This window comes from Homo sapiens, chromosome 15, assembly GCF_000001405.40.
Source record: "Homo sapiens chromosome 15, GRCh38.p14 Primary Assembly".
In the NCBI taxonomy this organism is placed as follows: domain Eukaryota; kingdom Metazoa; phylum Chordata; class Mammalia; order Primates; family Hominidae; genus Homo; species Homo sapiens.
In genome coordinates, this window is record NC_000015.10 from 62,648,490 (window position 1) to 62,664,437 (window position 15,948).

A 15,948-nucleotide genomic window follows, 5' to 3' on the forward strand; every position below is an offset into this window, starting at 1 on the left:
AGATCTGCTTCTCATAAAATTGTTTTTGGTCTAAAACGTGATGATGATGATGACGATTTTTTTTTTTTTTTTTTTGAGATGGAATCTCACTCTTGTTGCCCAGGCTGGAGGGCAACGATGTGATCTTGGCTCACTGCAACCTCCACCTTCCGAGTTTAAGCGATTCTCCTGCCTCAGCCTCCCAAGTAGCTGGGATTACAGGTGCACACCACCATACCCAGCTAATTTTTTGTATTTTTAGTAGAGACGGGGTTTCACCATGTTGGCCAGGATGGTCTTGAACTCCTGACCTCTGGTGATCTGCCTGCCTCGGCCTCCTAAAGTGCTGGGATTACAGACGTGAGCCACCACGCCTGGACGATTATTATTTTTTGAGACAGGGTCTCGCTCTGTCACTGGAGGCTGGAGTGCAGTGGCCCCATCACACTTCACTGCAGCCTCAACCTTCCAGGCTCAAGTGATCCTCTCGCCTCAGCCTCCTGAATAGATGGGACTACAGGTGCACACGCCACCACACCCGGCTAATTTTTGTATTTTTTGTAGATACAAGGTCTTGCTATGTTGCCCAGGCTGGTCTCATACTCCTGTGCCCAACTGATCCACCCACCTCTCAAAGTGCTAGGATTACAGGCGTGAGCAACTGCGCCCCCTGGCTATTAAAACATTATTTATGCTATTAGTAGTGTTTCTAGATTACTCAGAAATAAGGTTTGCTACATCCCTAACTTTACTATTTGGTTGTCCAGTCATTTCTGGTGCCTTTACTTTTCTGTTCCCTTTTTCTGTTGTTTTTCTGTCGGATTTTTTTTTTGGTGGGGGTGGGGAGCTTGATTGCTATATAGTGCTGGTGAAGGTATAAACCTTTAAAGATTTTGAAGTTGCTTTTCTAAGAAACAGCAGGAGCTCTTACCCTCATCTGGGTCTCAGAAGAAAGAGAGAAATTTTGGGGTAGGAAATGGTACTGCTCCTCTCCTGCCACCCCACCCCCTTCGTACTTCCTATGTCAGATTAAGGGGTTCCTGCAGAGAACACCAAATTTAATTTTGCACCTTTTACATGATTTGTTGGTGGTCGGGGTCAGAGGCCTCATCTCACAAGGAACTCCTACCTCTCTTTTACACCGCTCAGTTGGGATGATGGAGGGGTCACTGGAGACGTAAAGGCTTCATTTGTCCCCCTTTGCCTGAGTGGCCTTGGGCATAGGTGGTCACTTCCTTAGTTTCTCCCCCGCTGTCTTGTCATTCTCCATGGGATGTTGGTCTGGTTTTTATAGCAAGGGATAGAGAACAAGCTCAAATTCAGTTAGAAAGAAATTTGGACTGCTTCTAAATTTTCCTACATTTTAGACACAACTACAGCCCACTGGTTTTAGGAAACACGGACCTTATTTGTGGGTGTTGCTTCTGCAACTCAACTCTTACTCCTCCAGATCTGCTCCAGCCCTGATGGCTGCTTGTGTTGTCAAAACGAAACATTGCTGTCTGGTGAAGGAGAACACCCACATCCTTGCTGAGTCAGCAGGCTCAGGGCCTGGAAGTCAGTGATGGCTTCATCACCACTTTGCCTTCTGTTTTTCTTCCCATTTATATTTCAGCTTCTGACTATGGACTCTTTCTTTCGGATGAAGACCCGAGGAAAGGGATTTGGCTGGAAGCGGGCAGAACACTGGATTACTACATGTTGCGGAATGGGGTATGCTGCCAATCCCAGTGCTGTTTCTTCATCCCTTTGTCCCTGGGCCTTCTTCCATAGACGCCAACACGGTTACGCTATTTTGATTCAAGGGCATCTTATTAATAGTTCGATGCATTGTACTTTGTAAGGGCTGTTCAGGTGGTGATAGAAAATGTCAGATATCCAAATTCTTGAGATTCCATAGAAGGATTGAAGCAGTTCGAGGTTAGTATTTTAAGTAGTTTCTACTTGTCGTTGTTGGATTTGGTAATTGTGAGATAAGATACAGCATCTTACTGTAAGTATGGAAGAGATATTCCTATGCCTGGAGATGGGAAGTAAGAACAAATGAGAGGGAAAAACGAAATGTAACCCTAATGGTAGTTAGAGACTGAATATTAGTGTTTTGTTTCTGAAAAAGAAACTTCAATTTGAGATGTGAGTTTAATAATGATCAGTAGTAGTAACAGCAACAACAAAAATGGTTGTGTTATGGAAATAGGGAGAAGTAATGAGTAAAAACATATTAAACATTTTGTTCAGCTTAACCTCCAAGATACCGGGTTTTGGTATGTAGGGTGAAGTGCACCCATCAGATTGATGGGTATTCCATAAAGTAAGAGTGAAATATGTGATGCCAATTAATTTGGATAAGAAATGAATAGTTTAGTTTTAGGAAGTTCATACTTCTAGTTTTAGGAAGTGTAGTAAACAAGTTACTTAAAAATATCCCCCAAACATGTTACCCCTGTTTGGTCTTGTCATTAATGTATTTTAACACACTCTTTTGAAAATCACGACTACTGTGATACTCCACTAATATGAAGAATGATGAGGATGCTATTTATGTCTTTCATTATTTCTAAGATATAAGGTAAAATGTATTTATAGTAAAAATTAAAAATATTTTTATATGCAAATAGTAAAGACATAGAGATAGTAAAAATTGCTTATGACAGGTTAAAAGATAATTGGAGACACACACTGATGTCTTTTTAACAGGCAAGTAGTCACCTCCCTCTGCTAATTCTCCTTAGAGCAGATCATTCTCAGCCTTGCAGGAGGTCATACTCTACTTTCATTTCACTGAGGATGGTTTTCAGTAATTGTAAGGCATAAGTATGACTTCTTTGGGTTCAATTTCACTATCAAATTTTTAAGAAATCTTTATGAAAGCAGTTATTTAGCACTGGAGAAAAAATTGAAGGTGACTCTAGGTGACAGATATAGAATGTTCAGTACACTATTTTTTCAACATTGTGCCGTGTTTGGAATTTTTCATAAGAAAATTATTGGGAAAATAATTGAAGATAGCCTAAGAGAATATAGATAGATTGTATATGGAAATAATGAAAGAAACCAGACTTCACAAGTTCTTTAATACAATTTTAATTACTGGTCAAAACAAACAAGAAATAACCTGTATAGCTTTCAAGCCAGTAGGGGTAGGAGGGAAGAAATGCAGGTATGTTGACCATTAAAATAGGAGAAGTGCAGGGCGGCTTATGGAAACAAAGTGAAAAGAACGTATGGAATAAGATAGGGTAAACACTTTTAAATATATTAGGCATCATACAGAATGTAAGTAAATGAAATGCAGCAATAACAGAGATTCTCACTGAATGGAATTTTTTTGTAAGTCCAGGTCTGTACTATCTCTAAAAGACGTAGTGGCAACAATCCCCTGAAAACTTTGAAAGGTTTTCAAAGATGTTTTAGAAGAAAGGGAAAATCAGAGTCTACTCTGATTTTTTTAAAATTCATTTTTTAAAGAAAAGTGTTCAAGTTTGTTATTTATTTTCCCCACACAGTGTGAAATTTGTATGTGGTTTGTGCTCTAGGATATTTTGGAATATAAAAAGAAACAGAGACCTCAGAAAATCCGGATGCTGGATGGATCTGTGAAGACAGTGATGGTGGATGATTCCAAGACTGTGGGGGAGCTCCTGGTCACTATTTGTAGCAGAATAGGTGAGCATTCATACACCTTCATTATGTCTTTTTGCTTAGTTTTTAATTACAGGCCTCTTCTTTTTTCCACCTGCATTTGATCTCTAGGCAACTTTGAATGTGTCTTAACACGCCGAGTTCTGCCTAATCCCCAGAGGGTGTGTCCATTCTCCCAACTTGCCAATCCATGAAACATTTGGACTTCTCACTAAGTCACAACGGAGGGCTTTCATTTCCCTCTCCAAAACAAGAAGATTTTCAAATGGAAAGTCATGTGTAATTCAGCCTTCTGCCCATTGCTGCCTTCTATTCTATATGAGCACTCTAGATGTTCACTATCTCCTTGAGTACTTACGATGACAGCCCACATGATTATTAGATAGTCTTTCTTCTTGTGGCTTCTGTTAGTCTCCCCAGAGAACAAGTCTGCCTCCTTTCTAATGAAGCCCTTCAAATATTTGAAGAAAATAGACTTACCTATCTTAGTTTTCTCTTCATGCAAAGGAAGCCTAGTTCCTTCAGACACTTCTTGTTTGACACTGTCTTGCCTTCTTCTGCATGACCTCCTCTGTGGCGGTGTTTCCCAAAAATTATTATAGATGAGAGAATTGAATGTGACATAAGTTCTACTATACGCGTGACTTCTTTGGGTACGATTTCACTACTACATTTTTAGGAAACCTTTATGAAAGGAATTACTTAGCACTGGAGATTCTGTATTGTAGTGACAATAACCCTGTGAAAATGTAGGAAGGTTTCAAAGACATTTTGGAAGAAAGAGGAAATCAGAGTCTGATTTTTAAAAATTCGTTTTTGAAAAAAAAGTGTTCAAGTTTGTTACCTGTTTTCCCCCACAGTGTGAATATGACTTAACTAGCTGAAGCTTCTTCATTTAATTTGATGTGGCCACCTCCCTGACCCTCATATTTGTAAGGCCGTTTCTGGTTCTTTGCCACCAGGAGCTCCTTGGAATATCACAGGCCTTAGGCTGGAAGAGGTTGACAGCAGTTTAATTATTTATAATTATAACCTAATTTCCAATGTTTAGGAATAACAAATTATGAAGAATACTCCTTAATCCAAGAAACTATTGAAGAAAAGAAAGAGGAAGGAACGGGCACACTCAAAAAAGACAGGACACTGTTACGAGATGAGAGGAAAATGGAGAAGTTGAAGGCCAAGCTGCACACAGATGATGACCGTAAGTGTTTGCAGAGGAAGCATGATACAGACACACAGGCTTTGCTAAGCCTCACTTCCCTCCCACCATCCATATGACCCAGGACAGGACTTTTGATTTTTGTTTTTAAAACTCTATTTTAAAAAAGTAGGCTGGGCTCAGTGGCTCACTTCTATAATCCCAGTATTTTGGGAGGCCAAGGCAGGTGTATTACCTGAGGTCAGGTTTGAGACCAGCCTGGCCAATATGGTGAAACCTCATCTCTACTAAAAACACACAAAAAATTAGCTGGGCTTGCTGGTGAATGCCTGTAGTCCCAGCTACTCAGGAGGCTCAGGCAGGAGAATCACTTGAACCTGGGAGGTGGAGGTTGCAGTGAGCTGAGGTCGCACCATTGCACTCCAGCCTGGGTGACAGAGTGAGACTCGGTCTCAAAAAATAAATAAATAAAAATTAAAAAAAAAAAAGTAATTGTAATACCATTTCACATCTAAAGAAATATCTTAATATCAGATATACAAATCATGTTCACATTTTCTTCATTATTGTCTAAAAATTTTTTTAATAGTGTGAACTGGGATCCAAATAAGGTTGAACAAGTTAATTAGTTAATTAATTTGTTTTACTAAGTGTCTTTCCATCTCTTTTTTTGACTAATACTAATGATGTATATTTATGGGATGCATTGTGATATATCTGTGTAGACACTGAAGAAGGATTCAGTCAAGCTAATTAACATATCCATCACCTCACCAATGTATCTTTTTTTCTGGTAAGATTGTTAAAAATCTATTATTAGCATTTTTGAAATATATAATACGTTATTATTAATTGTGGTCACCACTCAGTGTGATAGTGCATGTCTTTTTGCAGTTTTTGTGTATGTGAAGAAACCAGATTGTTAGCTGTACAGCATTTCATACAGTCTGGATTTTCTTCATTGCATACCTATGGTGTCATTTAACATGTTCCTCTGTCCCTTTTAATTCTTTAGATCTGGAGGCTTGAATAGATTTAAATGTTTGTGTTTATTATAATAAAGATGCTTTCTTCAGTGGTGATGTGCACTTCCATCAGGAAGTGTTTCTGGTTTTCTTTTTTGGGGGGATGTTTAACATCCATCAATGACCATTGCCTTAGACCCATTATTTCCTTAGGAGTTAAAAATAGTAATAGTTGGTTGCACGTGGTGGCTCGTGCCTGTAATTCTAGCACTTTGGGAGGCTGAGGCGGGTGGATCACTTGAGGTCAGGAGTTTGAGACCAGCCTGACCAACACGGTGAAACCCTATCTCTGCTTAAAAATACAAAAATTAGCTGGGTGTGGTGGCGCATGCCTGTAATCCCAACTATGCGGGAGACTGAGGCAGGAGAATCGCTTGAACCCGGGAGGTGGAGGTTGCAGTGAACTGAGATTGTGCCACTGCACTCCAGCCTGGGTGACAGAGCGTGACTCTGCCTCAAAAAAAAAAAAAAAAAAAAAAAAAAAAGTAACAGAATTCTGTTACTGGAAAGTCATTTTCTACAGCCACACAGTTAATATATGGAAAAGCCAGCACGTAACCCCATGTGTCCCTAAAGCCCATGCTGTTTGCACCTTGCTGCCTGACCCTCCACTGAAAGGGTCTTAATTTATTACCCAGTCCACCTAGACTTCCTGGCCTCTTTCCTCCTTTCATTGTATTTGTTCTTGTGGCTGTATCGGGATGACATCATTATTGCCATTGTGTTTATTGATCTTCTGTGAGGCTCTCATTTCCTCTCACCCTTTCTGTGTTTTTTTTTTCTTACTCCCTAATTTGATTTGCAGTTATATACTTCTTTTCAAGAGACTTTAGTAGAAAAATCCCAAGGATTTATTATTATGTGCAAAATACTCTCCCAGGTACTGTGGGAGATGTGGGAGACACGTTTTGTGTACTCAGGTTGCTTATAATCTAGAGACGCTGGTGATAAGGACTTAACCCACAATGTGTTTGAAGCCCAGAGAGGAGTGTTGGAGTGAGAGCTGTGAAAGTGTAGAGGGGAGTGGTCGAATCCTGTGCACATAGATGTGAGGACAGGGTTCTCAGAATGGCTGAGATTTAAGCTGGCCCATGGCACGGTTCTGCCAGCCCCCCTTTAGTGTTGTCTCCGCTACTCCCTCCATACTTTCATTTTCTTCCTCTTTTCTACTTGAGATCAGAGGTAACTTACTATGCTCATAGCCTCAAGATCACTTTATTAGGTGAGACTGGAGTATCTGCCCTCCACCCTGCCACCGGAGAGGCAGCATATTATACATTCATTGTAGCACATGTCACCGTGGGTTGGCTGGCACTGTCCCCTGCTCCACAGAGGGTGTACTGGGCCATGGGAATGCGTCAGTGGAGAGAACGTGTCACTCCCCGAAGCCTCTGATGCTTTTCCTTCCTCTTGTGTTTCAGGCATGGGAATTTTCTCCCTCATTTCCATTTTGGCTGGTCCTTTGGTAGATGTGAAATTATTTTGCAAAGCTTAAAAACCATAGTTCTAAAATAAGAAATAACTATAACTACTATAACTAAGTATCAGAGATACAGAAATCTGCATCACACTGCTCTTTTGGTAAATTCCCTTTAATTAACAGGAAAAATAAACACAGTTCTCTTATATGTCTTGTTGTGTTGCAGTAAATTGGCTGGATCACAGCCGAACATTCAGAGAACAAGGAGTAGATGAAAACGAAACGTTGCTGCTTAGACGGAAGTTCTTTTACTCTGATCAGAATGTAGATTCGAGAGACCCCGTGCAGCTGAACTTGCTTTATGTTCAGGTACAGTATTTACTGCTCAGACACTGAGGTTGGTGAGATTGCAGGAAGCTCCTGGCTGTATCTTGTGGCGAGCAGGAGGGCGGCGCTGGCTTCTGCCACATTTATGGCGTCGTTTCCAGCAGGCGCTGCTCGTGGGTCCCCGCATGTGTTTGGTTGTGGTGCAGGTTGATATTCTGGATGAGCAGCTGACCATCCGGAGTAGGGCCTCCCTATGGCTTCCCAGATTGTGTCCTGGTAGCCAACACTGTGTCCCTCTCTGCCGGGCTTTGAGGGACAGTTGTATTTCACTTAACTGGCTCACCATTTCAAGTGCACTAAAGGTTTCTTAGCTGGCATCTTAGAATGCAAGAGAATGTTGGTCAGAAATCAGGACTCTCATTAACTGGAAGATATCCTCTCAATAACCTTTCATGTCTTTACCCTTAACTAATTGTTAAAACTGACAAGTCATTTAACATATCTGAGTTGCGGTTTCCCAGTATGTAAGATGTGGATTGCACTAGATTGTCCCCAAGGTTTCTTGTGGCTCAAGGAAAACATCATCCATCTTTGTCCTCTCCTACCAGCTTCCTTTCTTCCTTTCCTTCCCTCCCTCCCTTTCCTCTCGTTATTTATCCATCTATCTGCCCATAGAAATAATGTAGGGGTTGGCAAACTACAGTCATGCCTTTTGCCTGTACTTGTCAATAAAGTTGTATTGGAACACAGCTTATGTATTCAAGTATTACATATTGATAAATCCCCTTGAGGGTTATGTAATTGTTACACATATCTTCTGTGGCTGTTCTCGCATTCTGGTGACAGAACTCAGTGACAGAGACTGTGTGGCCCAGGAGGTTTGAAATGTTTACTATTTGGCCTTTAGAGAAGTTTCCTGACCCCTGAGTTAGTGGACGGAAGGATGGCATGGAAAGAGGGCTGAGAGGAAAGAAGTGGGGAGGCCAAAAGGAGAGAGATAGCAGGGCAGTGAAAAGATGCTTGTTGGCTTAAGGCTTAGAGTGATAGCTTGGAGTGTCCATCTTAGGGTGATCTGGGGGTCATTTAGAGAAAGGAAAGGCTGAAAAGGTGGGGGGGGGAAGCAACAGCAGTGATGGATGGAGAAACTGGGAGGAGGAGGAGTTCAGACACAACAAGCTCCCCATTTTAGGATGCATTCGCTTGTCATTTCCCCTGCTGTCTTGAGTATTGAGTTCTTGTCTGTGTGTGTGTGTGCCTATCGCCTTTCTTTCTCTTCCTCTATTACATTGGTTTTTATCTGGGGATGGGGGTTGGGTTGATTTTACCTCTAGATATTTGATTAGCTAGCTTTGTGATTTAGGATTGTAAAAAGTACACTGTATTTGTCTTTTGGCCTCTTTGAAGCTGATCATTTCATATGAGTTTCCTTTGCCTCTTTTTATAATCACTTCTGCCTTTCTGGACTGTCATCAGACTTTGCTTTTGCTGTACTGGACACCTCTAATGTTTTCCATCTACAGGCCATTTTGGACAAAAGTTTGTTTTTCTTTTGCCTTAGTTTTCTCCCATGCGGTGATCATCCACTGTGTCCTGCACATGTCACCGTGGGTTGGCTGGCACTGTCCCCTGCTCCACAGAGGGTGTACTGGGCCATGGGAATGCGTCAGTGGAGAGAACGTGTCACTCCCCGAAGCCTCTGATGCTTTTCCTTCCTCTTGTGTTTCAGGCACGGGATGACATCCTGAATGGCTCTCACCCTGTCTCCTTCGAGAAAGCTTGTGAGTTTGGTGGATTTCAAGCCCAGATACAATTTGGACCTCATGTGGAACATAAACACAAACCTGGATTTTTAGAGTAAATGACATTTTGTTTCTCTTTTTTCTCTTTTCTCCTGTCTTCTTTCTCTTTCAGCTTTTTATTTTTGAGCTAGGTGTCTAAGATCATACCCTAATTTCAATCATTTGTGAGAATGCTAGCTTTTCTTCCATCGAGTAGATGACCAAATTTGCAGATTTTGGGGAAAGCAAGAGAAATTCAGAAGTTTCTTTTGCTGAATAGAAATTCAGTGATCTGTGTCCCCCTCCACCCCCTTTTTTTCCTTCTACTTCGTCTTAGTGAAGAGGAAAGTAAAAAAAAAAACCAAAAAAAAAACCGCTCCAGTAGGGCCAAGGTGTGAACGCCAGTGTGGGGGTTGTGGGGAGGACATGAGCTTTCCTGTAGGATGTGCCAGTCAGCATGAGATGTGTCCAGCAGGCCATTCTTGGTATTGTGCATTCATTGTATTGTTTCAAGTGTATTGCAGGGAGAGGATAACGGAGAGGCTTCTTTGGCCCTTGACCCCAGTTTCACTTTGGTGGAAAGTAGTTGGGACCAGAGTATGCCTTTGAGTAAGAAGAAAACTTAACTTTTCTTCTGGTGGCAGAGAATGCCTGGCCAATATGCTGTTTGGTCTATACTGAGTTGTTAACCCCCCAAAAAGCAAACCTCTGCCCTTGGGTTAGCGAATCCCAGGGAACCTTTACAAGGTGACGCCGTGTCCTGCAGTGTGCCACACATTGTGAGCCTGAGGCTGAGGACGGCTCTGAGCAGTTTCTACCACCTACTTAGTTCTGTATTCTCCAAATGAGTCATACTGCCGGGTGTTCCTCAGGGCCTGCTTTTACCCCACCAGTCTGGCTTCCTTCCTCAGGAACCTCGGGAAGCTTCCCCTTCTCTTCCGCCACCTATCGAAGGCCATGTGCACAAGTTCCTTTAGCAGTTTCCACGTTCCCACCTTCTAGCCTCACGGCTGGCCCCTCAGATACAACTGATGTCATCAGCCTGAGGATTATGGCCACGGATATTGAGGAATAAACACCAAGAGCTAGAGGGGCCTTGGAGGAAACAACATTTTGTTTCTGTTGCTAGAGTGACTGGTGACAAATAGAAAATGGAGGGAAGATTGATGAATTTTAAAAAATGGAAATAAAACGTTTACCTATTTTTAGGCATTTGTAGCTGTGAATCTATGTCTCCCTGGTAGGAAGGCGATCCGAATGTAGTCATTCACCGGGTTCCTATATTGATGATGATGCCACCATGGTCATTTTATTAGCTCCCTTTCTCCATAGCCCAGGGGCAACTAGTTCTCAGGACTCCCTGTGAATTGAGAACATAGTATTTTATTTGATAGATATGGAAGAAGCAGCAGAGAGAGAAGTGGCTTGTTCACACTTACTTAAAGAGGTTCTCCGCAAATAGCTTCTGACTTCTAACACCGGGTTCTCATTTTCAAAGGCATTCCTGCTTTCAGTGAAAGGCAAAGTTGCCCCTTTCACTGGTCTCCCACTATGCAGCAAAGGTACTTAAAACTGGGATTACAAGGTGCTTTGGTCTACTTCCTAGTATGATGGGTCGTACCAACCAAATCATCATGAATGTTACTGTACAGCTGACTGCCTGTGTCGAGATTACAAACTAACATCAAAGCATTGGTATTGGTCTTAAAATTAGGTCCTGCAGTTTGTGGTCCTATTGAATGCTCCACACTCACACTCCAGCAACAGTATTCTTCCCTTAATAATCTGAGACCACAAGAGTTAAGCAATTGCATTGAGTTTGTTTCTTTTTTTGTAAGATTATAATATCAAGTTTATGCCTGTAGTGGTACCTGTACCCTTATTCAGATTCCAAATTAAAATAAGGTGGTTTTGCCTGGTGGCAATTGTTTTTCCTTATGAATTTGATTTACTTTTTAATTAGGCCAAATTAGGTAATGAGGCATTTTTACTTAATGTAGATATTTAATTGGGTACATTATTGCTTATACCATGCAGGTAAAACTTCTTGAGGATATAAGTCCCTTCTTAATTAAAACAAAACAGCGAGGCCACATTTTGCTGATTTGCGAGTTGGATAGTCAGGTCCTGTTTTTACCTGGGCTGTCCCTGGTGACTGGCTGGGCTCTCTTTTGCAGCCTTTATATCTTTCCCAATCTAGCTTTCATATGTGTGATCTGCTTAAACAATTTAGGGTTTTAAAATAATAATGAGAAGGTTGGACTTGTGACAGTCATGCTGAAGATGCAACCCCCAGAAATTTCAGTTACGTAGTTTCTGAGGCAGGTACATAGGAATGTGAACAAGGGCATATCTTTTAATTTTTTGAAAATTTGCTCAGCATTTTTGCTCGAAGTTGCAATATGGACATTTTTATGAGATTCGCTTCGAACTTTCTTCAGACTCTCCAGTGATTTCTGGATTTGTTACTTTAGTGAAGGTACTCATTTAGAATAATGAAAATCATCAGAGCTTGAAAGATTTTCAGAGTTTTCAGGGATTTAAGGATGATTTAATATATCCATCTACTTTATTGATGGGGAGAATAAGTGCTAGAGAGAGACAGAGACAAGGCCCAGAACAGTCAAGTGTGGGGAGCCAGGAAAAAGCCAGTTCTCCTTAATTGAGTCTGATGTGCTTTATCTACATGACAGTTTTCCTCAGGTCACCTTCAAAGGGTCCTAAGAAGGGACATTTTATTGGTGCATGAAGTAAAAACAACACATAATCTAGTAATCAGGTATTTGCTTTATGCTTTTCTGTGTTGAGAAAATGCTTGCAGAAAATATGCCATGTGATGTGGAATTTTGTACAAATGTGTGGGGTTCATGTGAAATTTTGTTACCTATATGTGAGCCTGGTGTTTTTCTTTAACTCATTGAGAACTTGCAGATGTGTTTTATTGTGTCAGGTACAGGGAAGATACAAGGGAGATATTATATACTAATTCCTTGCTGTTTTTGAATCTACAGTCTATGTGGCAGATAAGTATATGAAATGGTTATTATGCAGAACCAAAACTTGGCTCTGATCATCTCAACAAAGTCCAACTTTTAAACTGTATTTTAAGTGCAGGATGGTCTATTCAGGAAGTAGACTATGGAGACTACTATGGATTGTTTCTAAAAAGGTGGGAAGAGTATCATGCAAGACGCAATGTTGATTAAAGAAATTGACAAAGTAGAAGGTCAATGTAAAGAAGAATTAACTCTTAAAACAGCCACAACAAAACATAATAATGACTAATTTCTAGACCTTTAAAAACACTGTGGATAACTTTAAGAAGTGGTCAGAGTAAAAGCCTTCTATATTTTATTGGAGAAGATGAGAGTTACTGGTAGACTTCAGCTCTTAAATCAAGTATACATGATAAAATTGAAGGTGACTCTAGGTGACAGATATAGAATGTTAGTACACTATTTTTTCAACATTGTGCCGTGTTTGGAATTTTTCATAAGAAAATTGTTGGGAAAAAAATTGAACATAGCCTAAGAGAATATAGATAGACTGCATATGGAAATAATGAAAGAAACCAGACTTCACAAGTTCTTTAATAAAGTTTTAATACTGGTCAAAACAAACAAGAAATAACCTGTATAGCTTTCAAGCCAGTAGGGGTAGGAGGGAAGAAATGCAGGTATGTTGACCATTAAAATAGGAGAAGTGCAGGGCGGCTTATGGAAACAAAGTGAAAAGAACGTATGGAATAAGATATGGTAAACACTTTTAAATATATTAGGCATCATACTGAATGTAAGTAAATGAAATGCAGCAATTAATAAACAGAGATTCTCATTGAATGGAAGTTTTTTGTAAGTCCAGGTCTATACTATCTCTAAAAGACACAATTTTAGACAAAGAGCAGAGAGAATGACAGAGAAAAGTTTAAATGCATTGAAACTGATAAACCAGGAAATTTCTACTTAAATCAAAAATGTAGCTGCTGGAGCAGCTACATTTGGTGTTACACAAAATAGACTGTAAGGCAAACAAAGCGTAAGTAGAGATAAAGAAGATTATAAAGACAGAAGGACTAATTTATCAGGATACTAAATAATTGTGAACCTGTATATGTGCCTAACACTGCCTTAAATGTATATAAAGGAAAAATAGACTGTATTGCAAAAATTTCAGATATGCAGTTTTAGTAAAGTAATTTAACATACTTCCCTCAGTGAATGATTAGTAGAACAAGATCAAAATAGAAGAAATAAGATATTTAAAAGAAAGTAATGAAATAGAAACCACAGAGAATCAATAAACCCAAAAGCTGGCTCTTTAAAAAACTTAATAAACCTTGGGTAAATTTGATCAAGAAAAACAAAAGCAGAAAAAGGCAAAATAAGGTTAAGGGATGTTAAAAAGCAGTTGAGAATGTGATAAACTAGGAAAATTTAGAAAAAATGGATAATTAGAAAATTGAAATAAATTTACAATCTTGAAAGAAATTGACTTATCAGTTTAAAATATACCAGTCAAAAAACAACAAACACTAGGCCCAGGTTATTTCAGAAAATAAAAAAGTAAAGCTCCTCTCCTTAATTTGAAACTAGCAGAACTGTAATACCAAAATGAATACAGACAATAGAAAGCTTTTAAATTGAATATAGATGTCTTCCTCACAAAAGTTGATCAAATATTAACTAAGTCCAACATGACATATGTGCGTGTGTAAGTGCAAATTATAACTAAATAGTGTTTCTTTAAAGGAGGCAAAATTCATTTATTTAACAAATAATTTGTTGAGTGCCTTCTACGGGGTAGACACTAGACACTGGAGATACAGCAGTGAAAGACACAGTCAAACATTTCTGCCCTCATGGAACTTAAATTCTAGTGCGGAAAGAAAGATGATAACTATTAAGTAAGTAAAATACATAATATATTCATGATGATGAATGCCAAGATAAAAAGGCAGAAAGGGGGAATAGGGAGTTGGTGTATTTTAGGGATTGAGAGAGTTTTTTTTTTTTTTTTTTGGAGACAGAGTCTTGCTCTGTCGCCCAGGCTGGAGTGCAGTGGCGTGATCTCGGCTCACTGCAAGCTCTGCCTCCCGGGTTCACTCCATTCTCCTGCCTCAGTCTCCCGAGTAACTGGGACTACAGGTGCCTGCCACCACGCCCGGCTAATTTTTTGTATTTTTAGTAGGGACGAGGTTTCACTGTGTTAGCCAGGATGGTCTCGATCTCCTGATCCTCCTGCCTCGGCCTCCCAAAGTGCTGGGATTACAGGCTTGAGCCACAGCGCCGGGCCTTGAGAGAGAATTTGACATTTTAGAATGGATTACCAAGAGACACGTTTTCACAGTAGAAAATTTGTTTATATAGTTTACCATGTGCGATTTTTTTTAAAAAGACTATATGATTGTCTTAATTACTGGAGAGAAAGAATTTCATAAAATAAAATAATCTTGATGACAAAAAGAAAAACTTCATGGCATGCCAGAAATTCATGAAAACCTTCTTAGTCTAAACAAGTATGATAATTAATAGTTTAATATTAATTCCCTTTAATGTCCAGAAGGATGCTTGCTCTCAGTGCTTCTTATCAACATGATACTAAATATCCTAATGAGTGCAATAAGGAAAGAAAAAGAGCTAAACCATATCAGGATTGAACAAACTGTCATTAGTTGCAGGTGATAGGATTATCTACATAGATAATCAGTCAGTCTATAGAGAACCTTACTAGAATTAACAAGACTTTTAAGTGTGGTCTTTAGAAAAAAAAAAATCAACATATAATAGCAAATAGTATTCCCATACAAATCAAAAAAGAGGAAATATAATTGAAAAAAGGGAGTTACCTTTTATAGTAGTTACAAAAAGTATAATTTACCTAGGAAGACAGCTGTCCAATGATCTCCAAGATCTCACCAATAAAATGATAAAAGTTTATTGAGGAGCATAAAAGGAAGTCTGAGTAAATGCTATGTTATTGCTATGTTAATGGGTAGGAAGACTTGTATCAGGTAAAGTACTTCTACCCAAACTTACAGATTCAGTTCAATTCCAGTCACTTACATAATAATGAGAAAACTTATTCTTAAAATGGACATCTCAATAAAGCTGTTAAAAATTAATATGAACTAGTCAAGGCTCAAGAATGGTAAAGACTAATTGAAGATATATGAAGGACTCATACAACTACCACAATTTTTTAGAAAGGTAAAGTAATTAAAACACTACATTAGTATCATAAGGTGATATAGTAATTCAAAAGATTGATAAATTTACCTTTATTAAAATTAGAGTATCTTATTAGGAAAAGACCTCATCAAGAATAAAGCTCCAAACTGGAAAAAGAAATTTGCATATTTGCAATGCATACTCCAAGATCAGATTAATATCCAGAAGATATTAAAAAAGAAAAAAAAAATCTAAGAAAAAGATCACCCAGGATAGCAGTATATACTTCAAAGAGAAGGAAATGTAGTTGACTTATAAAGACATGAAAAGATGTTTAACCTAATAAGTGATTCAGAAAATACAAAATCAAAAGGGACAGAGCATTTCATGTCTCTCAGATGGGCATACATTTAAATGTGTGAAGACAACCAAGGTTCTTTATAGAGGA

The 15,948-nt window shown here is 39.3% G+C and overlaps 1 protein-coding gene and 1 long non-coding RNA gene across 4 annotated transcripts in view; one reads left to right on the top strand and one right to left on the bottom strand.

Annotated features, from left to right (window-relative positions):
- Positions 1–15,948, top strand: part of TLN2 (talin 2) — a 454,082-nt gene that overhangs the window by 257,940 nt on the left and 180,194 nt on the right. For both annotated transcript variants that reach the window (NM_015059.3, NM_001394547.1), the window contains 5 exons: positions 1,595–1,692; positions 3,516–3,645; positions 4,673–4,825; positions 7,455–7,597; positions 9,282–9,409. In NM_015059.3, the coding sequence (NP_055874.2) occupies positions 1,595–1,692; positions 3,516–3,645; positions 4,673–4,825; positions 7,455–7,597; positions 9,282–9,409 (652 nt within the window). The remainder of the gene's footprint in view (positions 1–1,594; positions 1,693–3,515; positions 3,646–4,672; positions 4,826–7,454; positions 7,598–9,281; positions 9,410–15,948) is intronic.
- The window catches only part of LOC105370855 (uncharacterized), a 28,962-nt gene continuing 23,588 nt past the window's right edge, over positions 10,575–15,948 (bottom strand). For both annotated transcript variants that reach the window (XR_007064673.1, XR_007064672.1), the window contains one exon: positions 10,575–10,693. This is a non-coding gene — a long non-coding RNA (uncharacterized LOC105370855). The remainder of the gene's footprint in view (positions 10,694–15,948) is intronic.